At 50.5% G+C, this 16,745-nt stretch overlaps 2 long non-coding RNA genes and 1 other non-coding gene across 3 annotated transcripts, besides 4 other annotated features; 2 read left to right on the top strand and 1 right to left on the bottom strand.

The window, feature by feature from the left end:
* Positions 11 to 510: an enhancer, noted in NCBI's record as "H3K4me1 hESC enhancer chr2:110788743-110789242 (GRCh37/hg19 assembly coordinates)". NCBI's record gives its function as "activates a minimal SCP1, AML or CMV promoter by ChIP-STARR-seq in primed H9 embryonic stem cells {active_cell/tissue: H9 hESC(primed)}" and the evidence as "EXISTENCE:reporter gene assay evidence [ECO:0000049][PMID:30033119]".
* On the bottom strand, positions 94 to 11,771 carry LOC112268438 (uncharacterized). Its single transcript, XR_002959478.2, has 2 exons — positions 10,563 to 11,771; positions 94 to 2,433 (listed from the first exon to the last, which is right to left on the bottom strand). It is a non-coding gene; the product is annotated as an uncharacterized LOC112268438 (long non-coding RNA).
* Positions 2,558 to 3,379: an enhancer, noted in NCBI's record as "H3K27ac-H3K4me1 hESC enhancer chr2:110785874-110786695 (GRCh37/hg19 assembly coordinates)". NCBI's record gives its function as "activates a minimal SCP1, AML or CMV promoter by ChIP-STARR-seq in naive H9 embryonic stem cells {active_cell/tissue: H9 hESC(naive)}" and the evidence as "EXISTENCE:reporter gene assay evidence [ECO:0000049][PMID:30033119]".
* Positions 3,035 to 4,195, top strand: LOC105373985 (uncharacterized). Its single transcript, XR_002959476.2, has 3 exons — positions 3,035 to 3,121; positions 3,768 to 3,917; positions 4,111 to 4,195. It is a non-coding gene; the product is annotated as an uncharacterized LOC105373985 (long non-coding RNA).
* Positions 5,429 to 6,313: an enhancer, noted in NCBI's record as "H3K27ac-H3K4me1 hESC enhancer chr2:110782940-110783824 (GRCh37/hg19 assembly coordinates)". NCBI's record gives its function as "activates a minimal SCP1, AML or CMV promoter by ChIP-STARR-seq in primed H9 embryonic stem cells {active_cell/tissue: H9 hESC(primed)}" and the evidence as "EXISTENCE:reporter gene assay evidence [ECO:0000049][PMID:30033119]".
* On the top strand, positions 6,187 to 7,027 carry LOC124900614 (platelet endothelial aggregation receptor 1-like). The gene is made up of 3 exons (XR_005647120.2): positions 6,187 to 6,273; positions 6,381 to 6,605; positions 6,944 to 7,027. It is a non-coding gene; the product is annotated as a platelet endothelial aggregation receptor 1-like (transcript).
* Positions 7,149 to 7,786: an enhancer, noted in NCBI's record as "H3K27ac-H3K4me1 hESC enhancer chr2:110781467-110782104 (GRCh37/hg19 assembly coordinates)". NCBI's record gives its function as "activates a minimal SCP1, AML or CMV promoter by ChIP-STARR-seq in naive H9 embryonic stem cells {active_cell/tissue: H9 hESC(naive)}" and the evidence as "EXISTENCE:reporter gene assay evidence [ECO:0000049][PMID:30033119]".
* Positions 11,772 to 16,745: the final 4,974 nt, after the last annotated feature.

The following is a 16,745-nucleotide window of genomic DNA, read 5'->3' as shown; positions in this document are numbered from 1 at the left end:
TGTCTTCACACAAAGCCGTTGGCTTTAGGGACAGTCACACATTACTGTTTCTTTTCTCTTCCCATAGAAATATAAGGGCCCCTTCTCCTTAGAGTACTTGTCAGTGTAATTTTTATTAAATTAGGTCCATCTCATTCAGAAAGGGTTTGAGCAAACCATAAGTGATGACATAATGAATATGTAAATGAAAACAAGCTTAGCTGGAGTGGAAGCAGGTTTCTAGAACACTCATCTGGAGGCTCCCTGAGTGGGGTCTGGAGCCCCAACTCTTCAGTGCCTTGCAGTGCCCTCCACACCAAGAGTGGGGCTGAAGGCACCACACCCACCTTTCCACAGGATGGGCAAGTCCTGGAACCCCCATGCTTTCTCCCCAGCTTTGGGCTCCTAAGCAGGGTCTGGCACAGATAGCCAAGAATTAATTCAGAAGGGGCCGCATCTCAGGGCCCACTGCCGTCCCTGGGCTTGAGAGCCACCCTGGCAGTGGAGGGCACTGTCACTCCAGCTCGCGAGCTCTGCTCCCTTATTCTGGGAAATGTCCCACTGCAGGGGTGTGTGAGCTGGGGGTGGTCGAGAGCCTGACTGGGGGCCAGGGAGGGCTGCTCTGCAATCTCAGCCACTTCTGATTCTCTGGGCAAGAGCTGAGGTCACTCATCCCAATAAAGGCATCCATGTGACTGCGGGAGGGCCCTGCCCTCTAGGTCACTTCTGTCCAGTGGGCACAGGGGTGGCCCTGCCCTGCCCTATGGGCACCTTCTCAGGTTAGTGAGTATGAGTGCCACTGCCCTGGTCCCAGGGGCTGAGCCCAGACCTCCTCTCGGTCCTCCTTTCCACTTAACAGCTGACCAACAACATCCCCCAGCCATGGGAGAGTGTGAGGCTTGGAGAGCCGGACTTCCACCTGGGCTGCGAGGGCAGAAAGCCTTGGGGAGTGTCGGTTGGAGGGGCCAGATCGAGGGCAGGCCATGCGGGCTTTGAGGGGCTTGAGAACACGTCATACTCAAGAAAGCAAAGCCATTAAGAATTTGTGTCTGCCGATATCTCTTTTGAGACCAGACCCATCTCCTCATCTTTAGGACCCTCCCAGCTCCCAAGAGAAGACAGCCCAAAGCAAGGGCCAGTCGTGGAGCTGATGGCTCAGGGGAGGGCGGGGGGTAGTGTGGGGCACTGTTAGATGTTCTGATTGTAGCTGCCAGATCACAGAGGTCTGTGGCCCTGGACGGCCTGAGCTTGAATTGGGATTAAGACAGAGAAGAATTATAACCAGGTGCATATCTCAGAGGGGAAAGAGAGACAGAGAGAAGAGCCCTGCCACACTTTCCCTCAGGCACCTGCCGGAAATGCTACCTGGAGCCAGTGTAGGCAGGAGTCACAGGGAGCCTGAGAGAGGAGAGATGAAAAGGAAATCGCGGAAAGGTGGTCCCTGCCAGGGTGCGCCTGGGTCCACACTTTCAGAGAGGCCTGGTCCCACAGCCCCTTCCTCCCGCCTGCTCCCCTCCCTGGCTCATCTCCTGGGTTTCTTTCTGTCTCCCCAGAATGTTTCTCTCCATGGTCTCTGAGGGCCTGTCCTGTCCCCCTGGCCATTTCTGTGGTGCCTCTGGCCTGGCTGCGCCCTCTGGCCCCTGCTCCCCCGGCTACTTCTGTCTGGCAGGAGCCTCCTCCCCAACCCCGACAGGTGTGGAGCCCCCTGGGAGCGGGTGAGCCCTGTACCACCCAACGCCCTGAGGTGGGGGCTCTCATGGTTTGGCACCGATGGGCTGTGGGTGGTTTGAGGATGGAGGGGACGTATGTAAGAGGGGCTGGAGTCAGATGGCTGAGGCGTGCTGTGGTCTGGCTGCCCTGCCCATTTACGGTCACACCTGCGGCCTCCCAGCCCACCTCTGTCTCACTCAGACCTGCTGAATCCACCACAGGTTTGCCGGGAGGTGGACAGAGAGGACGGGTGTTGGGGGGAGGGGGTTGCAGTCAGTGGACACCGAATGGTGCCCCATGGGCCACCCAGAAGCTGAGCTGATCGTGGGCATTGGCTTTCTTGGGTAGGTGGGGGCCACAGCCAAGACTCCCAGAGCAGACCCTCTACACATCCCCCTCGAGGTGCAGGTCAGGAGAGGGGGCAGAGCATTAGGCCCTGGAGGTCAGCGTCCAGGATGTCTGCTTCCTCTAGAGGCTGCTGACCATCTTCCAGAGGACGCCCCCTTTGCAGCCATCTCCAGTGGTCAGGGGGCAGCCTGGAGTCTCTGGGTCCTCAGGAACATGTGAAGGCAGATAGGGCAGCTGATCCTTGGCCAGGACCCTTGAATCCCTCTGCTCTGACACTTCCATTATTCAGAGAACATTGGAGGAGCGAGTTCAGCTCTCAGATGGAAGGTTGAGTTCTGGGGCATCATGGATGAGGACTGGAGAGCCAGAGCCAAGCCCCCGTTCAGGCTGCTGAACCTGGACAAAAGACCAAAACAGAAGCAGCTGGCCTGGCTTAGTACAACTCAGTGGGAAAGCCCTGGTCTGTCAGCCTGTTTTACTGAAAAGTGCACAATCATGGTGTGTCCTAGAAAGAGCACTGGGAGGGATGTCTGGAAAACCAGCTCTGAGCCAAGGCAGAGTCCAGGGAGATCCTGGCTCGCCCGCTAACGTCTTAGGACTTCATCCTCAGTAAAAACCAATCATTGCTCTTGTCCACCTACCAAACAGGGATTTTTCTGAGGCCCGAATAATGTGACATTTGTGTAAAACACATGCTTTTTGATCTGTAAGGTGTGGTACAAATGCCAGTCACAAGCACGGCTCCTCTCAAAAACAAACCTCTGACCTAAACTGGAGTCCACATTTGGTTCTGGTGCCGGGGCACAAGCCTCCCCCAGCTCTGGCACTCTCTGCTGGGACTGGGGTGTGCACTCCTCACTTAGCTTCCTTCCTCCCCTCAGGCCACTCAGGGCAGGGGGGCCCCTGTCCCCGAGGCCACTTCTGCCCCAGGGGAACCAGCCTCCCACAGCCCTGCCCTGCCGGCTCCTACAGCTACCTGACTGGCCAGGCCTCCTGCTTCCCTTGCCCCACTGGCTACTACTGCCCCGAGAACGTCACCAACTACAGCAGGCACCCCTGTCCCGCTGGCTTCTACTGCCCCGAGGTGAGCGCCTAGGCCACAACTTCCCGGGGCGAGGCTGGGCAGAGTTGTACAGCCGCTCTAGGCTCAGCTGGGGACTTGGGGGCTCACAGCAATGCAAACTCTGTGGCAACAGACACATGCATAGGTGTGTCCTCTGCTTCCGGGCTTTCCCACCACCCGTCCTGAAGGCCAGGGATATGAGGGCACTCCAAGGATGAGCTCTAAGCAGCTGGTGACAAGTATGAGTTCCATCCAAGTCTCCAGCTGTGTTTTAAAATGCCCGAAGGTTTTACATTGTATTCCATAGCATATCCGTGTTGGCTAAAAAACAAATATGTGAAATTACTTTAGCAAAACGTAGAAAGTTTGGGTCCCGTGCCTTTCAGTGAAGTTGAGCACCAGGAAGGGGAGTAGTGCACATGCTGTGGCTTTGTGGAGCCTGGGTCTAGGGCCACCCAGCCCAGGGGCTGAACTCTCCGGCCTGGAAGGCCAGGAGTGAGTGAGTTGTGGGGTTGAGGTGGGGAGTCTGCCAAGGACCAGCCCTGCAGGAGGAGGGGTACAGGGAGCAGCTGGCCACATTGAGCCTCCCCTGCCCCAGGCCCTGGAGCAGAGGGCGCCTTCAGGAACCAGCAAGCTGGGCTCCCCTCCTCTGAACTTTGCTTCTCAGGCACGAAGTACGCCACCCAGTTCCCCTGCCCTCGGAGCTACTACGACCCAGACCCACTGACCCAGAGCCTGGACAGCTGCCTGCCCTGTCCCCCAGGCCACTGCTGCGGGTAGGAGAACCTGACCCGGGCCTCTGGGCCTTGTGCGGCAGGTGAGTCTCCTGCCTTGCCCTAAGAAGCCCCCTGTCCATCTCTGCACTTCCCATTTCTGCCCCTGGACCTGGGGTCATCCAGACTATCTCCTGGAGCAGCTACTGGGAGGGATGGGTGGGCCTGCAGCCTGGTAAGCCTGGCCTTGGACTCCTTGGCCCACCACCCACCCCTCCCCACTGGTTTCTACCCCAGGATGGTTCTGTGTGTCTGTGGCATGGACCGCCCGCCCCTTCAACCTGGACAACTACACCAGCACCAATTGCCTGTGCCCAGCCACAGCCACAGGGGAAAAGTGCCCTGCTGGCTCCTACTGTCCAGAGGGCAGCCCAGAGCCCATGCCCTGCCCACCAGGCTCTTTCTGTGGCACCTCTGGTAAGGACCTATCGTGCTGTGGCCTAGGCTGTGGCTGGTGGGAGAACCAATGTGAGGGTGAACATGTAACCGCCATCTTTCCCTGTCCAATGAGAAGCACTGCCTGCCTACCTCAGGGGGCTGTGCCTGGCATGCTTCCTGGCAGGACTGTGCTTCATAAACTGTCACTGTTGCTGTCACTCTGGGTGAACGCAGGCCAGCCACCACAGAACAGCAAGGTAGGGAGGAGTGGCCAGGCCAGCAGGTCTCTATGCCCAGGGAGGGGCTCAGTGGCACCTCCCTGATCCCTCTCTGTACTCCCCATGTCTGATTGCCTGCACTTCCCAAGCACCTGCTGTGGACAACCCTGCTGGGCACCGAGCACCCAGGCATGCACCAGGCTCCTTCTGCCTTGGGAGGCTCTCAGCTCTACAGCCCCTGAGGTCAAGACCTTAGGCTGTGTTGGCTAAACTTGTACTCTAATGTCAGCTCTGCACCTTACTGATGATGACCTGAGGCTCTTTGTGAATGAGAGTAGTACCCATGTCACAGGGTTGGGCAGGAGCAGATGGCACACTTAGCTCAGGCTCAGCACAGGCTCAGCCCGGGATCAGTACAGGCTCCACAAAGGTGCAGCACAGACTCAGCCCAAACTCAGTCTCAGGTCTCAGCACAGGGCTTAGCACAGACTCAGCTCAGCCTCAGCCTCAGGGCTCAGCACAACTCAGCCTACGCTCAGCACAACTCAGCCTCAGGGCTCAGCACAACTCAGCCTACGCTCAGCACAACTCAGCCTCAGGGCTCAGCACAACTCAGCCTCAGGGCTCAGCACAACTCAGCCTACGCTCAGCACAACTCAGCCTATGCTCAGCACAGCCTCAGCCTCAGGGCTCAGCACAACTCAGCCTCAGGGCTCAGCACAGCCTCAGCCTCAGGGCTCAGCACAACTCAGCCTCAGGGCTCAGCACAACTCAGCCTACGCTCAGCACAGGCCCAGCACAGGGCTTAGCACAGACTCAGCAGAGGCTCAGCCCAGGCTCAGGACACAACCAGCACAGGATCAGCACACGCTCAATGCAAGCTCAGGACAAGGACTCAGACCAGGCTCAGCATATACTCAGCACAGACTCGGCACAGGCTCAGCACAGGGCTCAGCAAAGACTCAGCACAGACTCAGCAGAGGCTCAACACAGGCTCAATGCAGGCCCAGCAAAGGCATGACCACTAGTATAACTCTCAGTTCTAGCTGAGTACTCTAGTCACACCCCGAGTCCTCCGAGGACTGATGCCCACAGGGATCCCAGTTGGCTCCAAAGGCCAACGTCTTTTATAGTGAGTCTACTCAGCATTTAACCCAGTTCCCCTCCACCTCCAGGCCTCTCCACCCCCAGCGGGCCCTGCCAGCCTGGCTACTTCTGTGCAGAAGGTGCATCATCCCCTTCTCCAAAGGACAGGGTGACAGGGGCTCCCTGCCCCCTGGGATCCTTCTGCCGTGACTGTATCCTTGGGCTCCGCTCTCAGCCCAACTCGCCCTCCTGTCCCAGGACTGCAGACAGATCTGATTCCTCCGGCTTGCACCTGTGCCCCTGAGCAGGTGGGAGGAAGCCAGAGGAGAGGTGCCCCGCTAGAGTCAGGCCTGAGGCAAGAAGGCTTGCAGAGGGTTGTGGTTGTGGTTAAAGTACATTTTGGGCATTTGCTGTGGCTTGAGTTGTTTGGTGGGGATGGCTGAGGGATCACCTTGGCTGAGGGATCACCCCAGCCAAGGACCTGTGAGATTGGAACCTTCCAGCCCCACATCTGGGGAGAAAAGTGAGGGCAGCCCTTGCTCTGCAGGCACCCCGGCCACCCAGGCCTGCCCCTCTGGCCACTACTGCCCTGGAGGAAGTGAGACCCACTCGGGAGCTCCCCAGGCCTGCCCTGAGCATACCTACCTGGCAACAGATGGAGGCCATAGTCAGGCGGAGTGCCTCCCCTGCCCTGCTGGGTACCACTGCCCATGGCCAGGTAAGAGCCTGTCTGCAGGCTGGATGTGGGGGCCTTGGGGAGGAGAGGGAAGAGGCTGTCAGGAGCCCCTCAGGCAACCCTTCTTAGCCTGATGCTTTTGCCCCCAGGTCTCTCTTCCTTTGAAGACCACCCATGTCCTCCGGGCCACTGGTGTCTAGGTGACCAGGGTGCCTTTTTCTGCCCACCTGGCACCTTTAGGTCAGAGCCAGGGGCATCAGCACAGGAAGACTGTGAGCTCTGCCCTCCTGGCTACCACTGCCCAGACCCTGAGCTTCAGGGTCATGCAAATGTGTTTGCCATCCCCTGCCCAGCTGGATCTGAGTGCCCAGCAGGTGAGGCTGCAGGATGACCCCAGCCCCTTCCCATCCCTTCCCTCATCCCTGAGGCTCATGCCTGAGCTCTGCAGAAAGCCCTGATTGAGCTCAGGCCACAGATGTGGCACAGCCACACCTGACCAGCCCCCACAAGGCACACCCAGTCTCTGGTGGCATCCACACCACCTGGATGTCCCCAGACCAAGGTGCCTTCAAGTCACCTCTTCCTCCCCATCTGGGTCAAGGAGGAGGCCGGCCAGAGGTTTAACTAGAAATAGCATGCCCCCTACAAAGTGTCCAGTACCTGCCACACCTCAAGGCACAACCAAAAGCACCCTCCTGTTGGCTGCCCTCAGGTGAGCTGTGGCCTCAGTGCCACTGCCCTGTGCGTCCTCATCAGAGCTCCCACCTCCACCTCATGAAATGCATCCTCCTTCCCCACCGCGGCGGCTGGCTGCACAAAGACACGGGAACTTCCTGCCATTGATCTCGGTTCATGACACCACCACCCGCACGAGTCACCCTCCCTGACCACACGAGATCTCCCTTCACCTGCAAGCTCCGCACTCCTTCCTGGTTTCCACACTGTTCCCCACCACCTCAGAGGCCTCACCCTACTGCTGTCCTCCCTGCCCAGGCCTCACCTGGGGAGCCTGGGGACCCTCCTGAGTTCTCCTCCGGCTCTGGACCTCTCCTGGCTTCCAAGTGCCATTGATGGGTGAAGAAGGGACTTGGGGTGTCCTCCAAACCATGCCCACATTGTGGCCTGTTCTCCCGCATCCCTGGCCCTGTCTCTTCAGGTGCTGTGGCTGAGGTCCCTTGTAGGCCCGGCTCCTACTGTGGGCCTCAGACGGGGCTGCCCCCACTCTGCCCCGGGGGGCTATGCCTGCCCTGTCAGCTCCTCCACCTACAGTGGCCTGGGGCAGCGGTGAGTTCCTTCCCCCTACCCCCCCAAGGGTCTGAGCCCCAACCCCAGCCCTGGAACTGCTGTCAGCACCCTATGTGAGGCCCCACCATGACAAGCATGTGTGCCTCAGAAATCCAGCCAAAGGGCAGGGCCCAAAAGCAAGCCCTGGTGACCCTCTGCCTGGGCTTCCCAGCTAGGGCCAGCCCCTGCCTCTGCCCCAGGGAAGGTGGGGTGAGGAAGCACATTGCCCTGGGATGCCCCATCAGAGTGCAGGCTCATCCTGGTGGGGCAGCCAGATGGAGCTCACAAAAATACAGCACGCCTAGTTACATTTGAATTGCCGGTAAAGGACAATGCATTTTTACTGTAAGTATGGCCCATGCAATATTGGGGGTGCACTTCTACTAAAATCATTCTCATTGTTTATTTGAAATTTGAATAGGACTGGGCATGGAGTATTTCATCTGGTAAGCCCCATCCCGTGTCTGGGACTAACACCCTGACATCAGATCCACTCCACAACACCCCTCTGCCCAGGGTGGAATGGGCAGGCAGTGCCGGCCTGGTTAACTGGGCATGGCTCATCCACCACCAGAAAGGCAGCTTGGTGCCGTGGCCCCACCAGACACAAGGCAACCCCAGGACCCCTGACTGGGACAGTAGCAGAGTCCCCGTCCGCTAGCAGCTGAGGCCCCAGGCCAGGGAAAGTCGGCCCCCGCTAGCGAGAGAACCCACCGCACACACAGGTTCCGGCAGCATGAACCAGCCGGGCTCTGTCTCTGCAGCTGTGTCTTTCCCCATTACTGCCCCCCGGGCAGTGCCCAACCTCGTGCCTGCCCTGGGGGCTCCGAAGCCCTGAATGGGACCAGCCTCAGGGTCTCTGAGGAGATATGCTGCCTGCCGCCTCTGTGAAGCGGGCACCTACCGCAGCCGGGCCCTGGATGCTCTACCCTTACAGCCCTGCCCGCCTGGATTCAGCTGCCCCCAGGGTGAGTCCCTGGGAGGCCTGGGCAGGAGCAGGGGGACCGGGACTGGAGGTGACCCAGAGTGGAGATCAGTGAGGCGGGTGGAGGCGCAGGCAGGGAGGGCCCCTCAGAGCCTGGGGACAGCCCAAGAGGCCTGGAGCAGCCCAAGACACAGACCCAAGAACATGTGGAGGATGGAGACACAGAGCAGGTGAGTGTCAGCTGCCTCCGTGTCAGGTTTAAAAGTCCTCTAGACACAGGGCAGAGCAGCATGCACACAGATGTGTCGGAGCCAGTGGCCCAGGCACTCTGGAGAGAAGGAAAGCCACTGCCCAGCGCCCCGCACCTGACTGAGAGGGAGACCAAGGGGCTGGCGGGGAGGGTGAGGGGTTACAGGGCACAGAGCCCTCTACTGCCCCCACAATCTAGATTCTTCCCCCATTTACTGCATTGTTTCCCCCCTCCCTCAGCAGGCATATCCCTACCCTGGACACCCCCAGTCCACTCTCAGTCCCTGCCTCGGCTGGGGCAGAATTTCCCCTCTGTGTTCCTCCAGGGTCAGAGAGCTACCAGGGCCATTCCTGCCCGGTGGGCCACTACTGCCCTGCAGGGACTCGCAGCCCAAGGCCCTGCCCAGCAGGGACCTTCAGAAGCAGCAGCAGGGCCAGGGCAGCTGAAGACTGCCGGCTCTGCCCTGCGGACACCTTCAGTGCCCTGCCTGGACAGGTGGGCTGCCTCACCTGCCAGAGCGCCGCTTTCTCTCCACCAGGCGAGTGTCAGGTCTGCCTGCTCCAAATGCCCTGTCTGGGGCCTGCAGCTTTGAGGGCCCAAGATGTAAGGTTTCAGGAAACAGCCACCTATGGCTGAGTGGAGCTGTTCTAGGAAAGCTGCAGGTGAGGGCAGGAGTCTCTCGGTGACTCCCACGCACTGGGTTGGGTGTGTGGATGGAGCAAGTGTGTATGCAAGGACTCCAGCAGGCAAAGGAGTGGGTGTGAGGGAACCAGCTCAGACCAGCCTCAGCCACTTGCTCAAGGTGGCTCGATGGATGGGGCCAGCACCGCTCTGAGGCCGTCTAACAGGCTGCAATGCTGCATCGCCCTCCGGGGAACACCCTCGTTCTGCTCACCCAAGTCAGTCCCTGGTCATAGGGTCAAGGGCAGAGCTGCAAGTGCAGCTCCCGGCTTTGAGCCAACAGTGCTGCTGATGTCTCCACTTCTCCCCATTTTGAGGTGTGGTCTTCTCATGGTCTTTGTTGTGGCACCCATTTGCAGGCAGTCCACTGTACAAACGGAAGTAACCAGATAATCTTGCGATAGATAATCCAAAAGTTACATGCGTCATACATAGTTAGCCTCAGTGGGGGCTCCAACTGAGGGCTGACCCCAGATCTCTGCTGATGGTGTTGGCAAGCTTCCTCTCTTAAAGCAATGGGAGTGCTTACCACATGCCAGGCATGTTCTAATGCTATCTAATGTCAGCTTATGTGATCCTCATGACAACTCTATGAACCAGACACAGTTATTATTATCCCTGTGTTATGAGTATGTAAACTGAGGCACAGAGACTTTAAATAACTTGCCCACATCAGACGGTTAGTGATGGCAGAACCAGGATTTGAACCCAGTCTGGCTGACTCCCAGGTTCCTGCTGTCAACCGCCACACCATGACACCTTCAGATGGTGTGATTTGAGGTGCCCAGGGATCTGCCATCGTTTCTTATCTTCCAGCTGAGGTATTCTGCCTCTGAGGTGACCAACCCCTGAATCTTGTGACCCCCCACCCATATACCTGGAGACCAGGGGCTGAGTAAAGTGGGTCCCAGAGGTGGTTGTGTCCAAATTACATTTCACTGGTGGGTTCGTAACAATCACGTACAGGCATTTGTGTGCTTTTCCGTTATTGAGGGGTATATTTTTAACTGGGTTGGACATGTGATCGTAATATTGGTAGTGAAATGACCCTTAGATAACACTAAAACCTTTTCCAGGCTAATATTATTGCAGCCATTCTCTGTGACATGGAACTCTCCAGTCTGTGTTTGTCTGCTCTGTCTGCCATAGCTTAATCCCACAGATGGCGGGGCTTGAACAACAGAAACTTACCTCCTCAGAGTTCTAGAGGCTACAAGTCCAAGATCGAGGTGTCAGCAGGGTTGGTTTCTCCCAAGGCCTCTCTCCTTGGCTTGCAGCTGGTCACCTTCTCCCTGTGTTCCCACATGTTCTTTTCTCTGTGCCTCCATCTGGTGTCTCTGTGTGTGTCCAAATGTCCTCTTCTAATAAGGGCAACAGTCACATTGGAGTAGAGCCCCCTCCCACATCTTCATTTTGACCCAGTTATCTCTCAAGAGGCCCCACCTCCAGAGACTGTCACATTCTGAGGTACTGGGGGATAGGGCTTCTGTGTGTGAATCTAAGGAAACACAATTCAGCCCAAAACGGGGACCCTAATCGCCTCTGGGCTCAGCACCGGAACAAACAATGTTCTCCTCAGGCTGTGTCCCAATTATGCTTCTTTGCGTCTACGGTAAGTCCCGCTCCAGTTGATATACTCTCCTTTTTTATTTCCTGCAAATTTTGTTGATTTGTTATATATACAGGTTATGAGTTAAGGTTCAAAATAAATTTTTCCCAAATAGATATCCAATTGGCATGGAACCTAACATGAATTATTACCCAGGTTTGTCATTAATCAAACATTTCATAAACATGCAGGTCTGTTTGGGAATCTCATGTCTGTTCCACAGGTGTTGTACTCTATTCTTGTATAGATATCACCCTGTCCTAATCACTGTAGCTACATAAGTCTTAAATGAGTAGTCTGTCTTGCAACTTTGTTCTTTTCAACAACAATGGCTATTTGTGGTCCTTGCATTTCCATATAATCAGATTATTAGCATCTACAAAGGAACCTGCTAGGATTTCTATTGGGATTTCATAGAAACAATTGATCCATTGGCAGAGAAATGACATTATTACTATGTTGAGTCTTCTAGTTCTTGAACATGGCTTATCCTCCCATTTATTTATGTCTTCTTTTATTTTTCTAAACAGATTTTTGTGGGTTTTTTGGGGGGGTAGAGATGGTGTGTATCTCGTTAGATTTATTATTGGACGTTTTATGTTGTAAATGCTATTAGGTTTTTAAATCTTTATCTAGTAATGTTTTGTTTGTCTGAAAGGTGTGTTTTTTCAGCTTTATTCTTTTTTTTATTATTATTATACTTTAAGTTTTAGGGTACATGTGCACAATGTGCAGGTTAGTTACATATGTATACATGTGCCATGCTGGTGTGCTGCACCCATTAACTCCTCATTTAGCATTAGGTATATCTCCTAATGCTATCCCTCCCCCCTCCCCCCACCCCACAACAGTCCCCAGAGTTTGATGTTCCCCTTCCTGTGTCCATGTGTTCTCATTGTTCAATTCCCACCTATGAGTGAGAATATGCGGTGTTTGGTTTTTTGTCCTTGCGATAGTTTACTGAGAATGATGATTTGCAGTTTCATCTATGTCCCTACAAAGGACATGAACTCATCATTTTTTTATGGCTGCATAGTATTCCGTGGTGTATATGTGCCACATTTTCTTAATCCAGTCTATCATTGTTGGACATTTGGGTTGGTTCCAAGTCTTTGCTATTGTGAATAGTGCCGCAATAAACATACGTGTGCATGTGTCTTTATAGCAGCATATTTATAGTCCTTTGGGTATATACCCAGTAATGGGATGACTGGGTCAAATGGTATTTCTAGTTCTAGATCCCTGAGGAATCACCACACTGACTTCCACAATGGTTGAACTAGTTTACAGTCCCACCAACAGTGTAAAAGTGTTCCTATTTCTCCACATCCTCTCCAGCACCTGTTGTTTCCTGACTTTTTAATGATTGCCATTCTAACTGGTGTGAGATGGTATCTCATTGTGGTTTTCATTTGCATTTCTCTGATGGCCAGCGATGATGAGCATTTTTTCATGTGTCTTTTGGCTGCATAAATGTCTTCTTTTGAGAAGTGTCTGTTCATGTCCTTTGCCCACTTTTTGATGGGGTTGTTTGTTTTTTCTTGTAAATTTGTTTGAGTTCTTTGTAGATTCTGGATATTAGCCCTTTGTCAGATGAGTAGGTTGCAAAAATTTTCTCCCATTTTGTAGGTTGCCTGTTCACTCTCATGGTAGTTTCTTTTGCTGTGCAAAAGCTCTTTAGTTTAATTAGATCCCATTTGTCAATTTTGGCTTTTGTTGCCATTGCTTTTGGTGTTTTAGACATGAAGTCCTTGCCCATGCCTATGTCCTGAATGGTAATGCCTAGGTTTTCTTCTAGGGTTTTTATGGTTTTAGGTCTAACGTTTAAGTCTTTAATCCATCTTGAATTAATTTTTGTATAATGTGTAAGGAAGGGATCCAGTTTCAGCTTTCTACATATGGCTAGCCAGTTTTCCCAGCACCATTTATTAAATAGGGAATCCTTTCCCCATTGCTTGTTTTTCTCAGGTTTGTCAAAGATCAGATAGTTGTAGATATGCGGCGTTATTTCTGAGGGCTCTGTTCTGTTCCATTGATCTATGTCTCTGTTTTGGTACCAGTACCATGCTGTTTTGGTTACTGTAGCCTTGTAGTATAGTTTGAAGTCAGGTAGCGTGATGCCTCCAGCTTTGTTCTTTTGGCTTAGGATTGACTTGGTGATGCGGGCTCTTTTTTGGTTCCATATGAACTTTAAAGCAGTTTTTTCCAATTCTGTGAAGAAAGTCATTGGTAGCTTGATGGGGGTGGCATTGAATCTATAAATTACCTTGGGCAGTATGGCCATTTTCACAATATTGGTTCTTCCTACCCATGAACATGGAATGTTCTTCCATTTCTTTGTATCCTCTTTTATTTCACTGAGCAGTGGTTTGTAGTTCTCCTTGAAGAGGTCCTTCACGTCCCTTGTAAGTTGGATTCCTAGGTATTTTATTCTCTTTGAAGCAATTGTGAATGGGAGTTCACTGATGATTTGGCTCTCTGTTTGTCTGTTATTGGTGTATAAGAATGCTTGTCATTTTTGTACATTGATTTTGTATCCTGAGACTTTGCTGAAGTTGCTTATCAGCTTAAGGAGATTTTGGGCTGAGACAATGGGGTTTTCTAGATATATAATCATGTCATCTGCAAACAGGGACAACTTGACTTCCTCTTTTCCTAATTGAATACCCTTTATTTCCTTCTCCTGCCTAATTGCCCTGGCCAGAACTTCCAACACTATGTTGAATAGGAGTGGTGAGAGAGGGCATCCCTGTCTTGTGCCAGTTTTCAAAGGGAATGCTTCCAGTTTTTGCCCATTCAGTATGATATTGGCTGTGGGTTTGTCATAGATAGCTCTTATTATTTTGAGATACGTCCCATCAGTACCTAATTTCTTGAGAGTTTTTAGCATGAAGCGTTGTTGAATTTTGTCAAAGGCCTTTTCTGCATCTATTGAGATAATCATGTGGTTTTTGTCTTTGGTTCTGTTTATATGCTGGATTACATTTATTGATTTGCATATATTGAACCAGCCTTGCATCCCAGGGATGAAGCCCACTTGATCATGGTGGATAAGCTTTTTGATGTACTGCTGGATTTGGTTTGCCAGTATTTTATTGAGGATTTTTGCATCAATATTCATCAAGGATATTGGTCTAAAATGAAAAAGAGAGTTTATTAAAGGAAGTTTGTGTGTGATTAAGTTTGCTGTAACACAAATATTTATCTCTCTAAATATGGAGCTTTGATATTAAAAATACACTAATACAAAACTAAAAATTGGTCCCCTGTGTTAGAATAAGATTTTCTGAAAGTATTTATTTGTTCTTAATAAAATTACAAGAGGTTTTGTTTCTTTTTGAAATTTCTCAAATTTATGTCTCAGAAGTTCAAATTCTGCTCTCTCTCACTAAATGTGATTTGCAGTTTATATATCATTGCCTTCTGTTCTTTATTCCCTTAAAAGGTAAATCTGTTTGCTTACCTGGGATAAGTCTCTTCTTCAATATTTTTATTAACTCCCATAATTATTTTCTTCTACTCTACCTCTGATGTTGTGGCTGGACACTAAAATGTTTATCTTGAAGGTCTAGAATGCAGTGTTTTCCTCTAGAATAATTTGATTCTGTAGTCTTGGCTTTTCTTCAGTAGAGGGGAATTCTCATGCTGTTGCTGAGAGCCATGTATTTCTGTGCTCAAGGTATGAGTTTTCTTGTTTACATTCCTTTATACTATCGTGTACACATATAACCCTGAACACGCTGTTCTTACATCTGATTAAGCTCAACTACCCTTTTTATCAGGCTTGACTTCCGGGATATCTAAATGGGCTTCCCATAAGGAGAATTAGTCATATTTGTGTTAGTCCATTTTGCAGTGCTATAAAGAAATACCTGAGACTGGGTAAATGATAAAGACATTTATTTTGGCTCACAGTTCTGCAGACTGTACAAGAAGAACAGTGCCAGCGTCTGATTCTGGTGAGGGCCTCAGGAAGATTACAATTACATTTATGGTGGAAGGTGAATGAGGAGCAGGCATGTCACATGGCAAGAGAGGGAGCAAGAGAGAGGAGGAGGTGTCAAGCTCCTTTAAACAACCAGCTCTCGCATGAACTACCAGAGCAAGAACTCACACATTGCCATGGGGATGGCAATGAGTCATTCATAAAGTATCTGCCTCTATGGCCCAAACACCTCCTACTAGGCCATCTCCAACACTAGAGGTAACATTTCAACATGAGATTTGGAGGGGACACACATCCAAACTAAATCAACACTATAGGAGGTTTTGTGGGGATTTTTGTTTATTTGTTTGTTTACCTTTACAGTAGCTGGTCTAAAAAGAAGAGATTTTATGTTTTATTAAAACAATTTCTGCACTATTCTTATTAGGTTTCATATTACTTAGGAAAACTGAAATTTAAAAGGGGTAAGGATTTTACATTCATAAAAATTTCTGTATTTCTTTTGAAGTATTTTGATTACCACTCTACTTGTGTGAATAACTTTTATTTTCCAGTGACCTATGGTTTTATTTTGATCTAGTTTTTTGAAACTTTTGACATCTTTGTCATGTTCCCCCAGGATGAAAATCCTAAATTAAGTCTTTTTGTATTAAATAATTAGACTTATTTGGCAGATTCTTTGTAAAGTATTATCAAATGATAATTGATACTAGATCTTTCTGTTACAATTATGGGTACATTATTGACATAAATGTTCCAAAACTTATATAAATTTACAAAAAGCTAATTTGTTATCAGTCATAACTTTGATTACTATATTAAATCTTAAGTTATATTTGTAGGGGTATGTTATTAATGTGAATATTCTAAAGATGATATAAAATTTATGAAAGCCTGATGTCTCTAACATGACACTGTCATAATGATTCTGGTTGTTATCTTAAAATGCTGCAAATAATAGAAATAACAAAATTTCCTTGTCTATTGGGAACTTTCATCAAATCTTAACCATAGCTACACCAAATTTTGGTCATCCAGTGTTACCATTCTCAATTCTTCTCTACAAACATTTGCAATCAGCTCTAGTCAAAAATTGCTGCGGTGTGTGGTGGCTAACACCTATAATCCCAGCACTTTGGGGGGCCAAGGTGGGATGATCACTTGAACCCAGGAGTTTAAGACCAGCCTGGGCAATATACCAAGACCCTGACTCTACAAAAATAAAATAAAATTAGTTGGGTCTAGTGGCACAAACTTGTGGTTCCAGATACTTGGGAGGCTGAGGTGGGAGGATTTGCTTCAGCCTAGGAATTCAAGGCTGCAATGAGCCATAATCACACTACTGCACACCAGCCTGGGTTGCAGAACAAGATCCTGTCTCAAAAAAATAAAGAAAGAAAACTTCTTTTTTATGAAAAAGATTCTAATAAGTACGGGCACAAAAAGAGGAAAAAACTAATACAATTAATGAAAGAATATACAAATGTATGTTCTAGTTTTGTTGAATATTTATCATGATTTTTCTCCAACGTGTCACTACTTTGATGATATTTTGTGTAAAATTTGTAGTATTCTTGTAATAGTCTTCTTGAAGTGTTGTGATAGGTGCAGAAAACTGCAATGTCAGAAAAAAAACTGAATCATACTAATTAGAAAAATAGATGAGTGAGGCAGAAAACTAACAAGGAAATTCTGACTTAAATTCAACACTTCACCAATTGGACCTAATAAAAATTGACAAAATGTTCCACCCAACAACCACAGAAGATACATTCTTTTCATTTGCACGTGGCATATACTCTAAGATCAATCACATATT

The sequence above is a fragment of the Homo sapiens genome, chromosome 2, assembly GCF_000001405.40.
Source record: "Homo sapiens chromosome 2, GRCh38.p14 Primary Assembly".
Lineage (NCBI taxonomy): Eukaryota > Metazoa > Chordata > Mammalia > Primates > Hominidae > Homo > Homo sapiens.
This window is presented reverse-complemented; position numbering and strand designations above follow the sequence as displayed.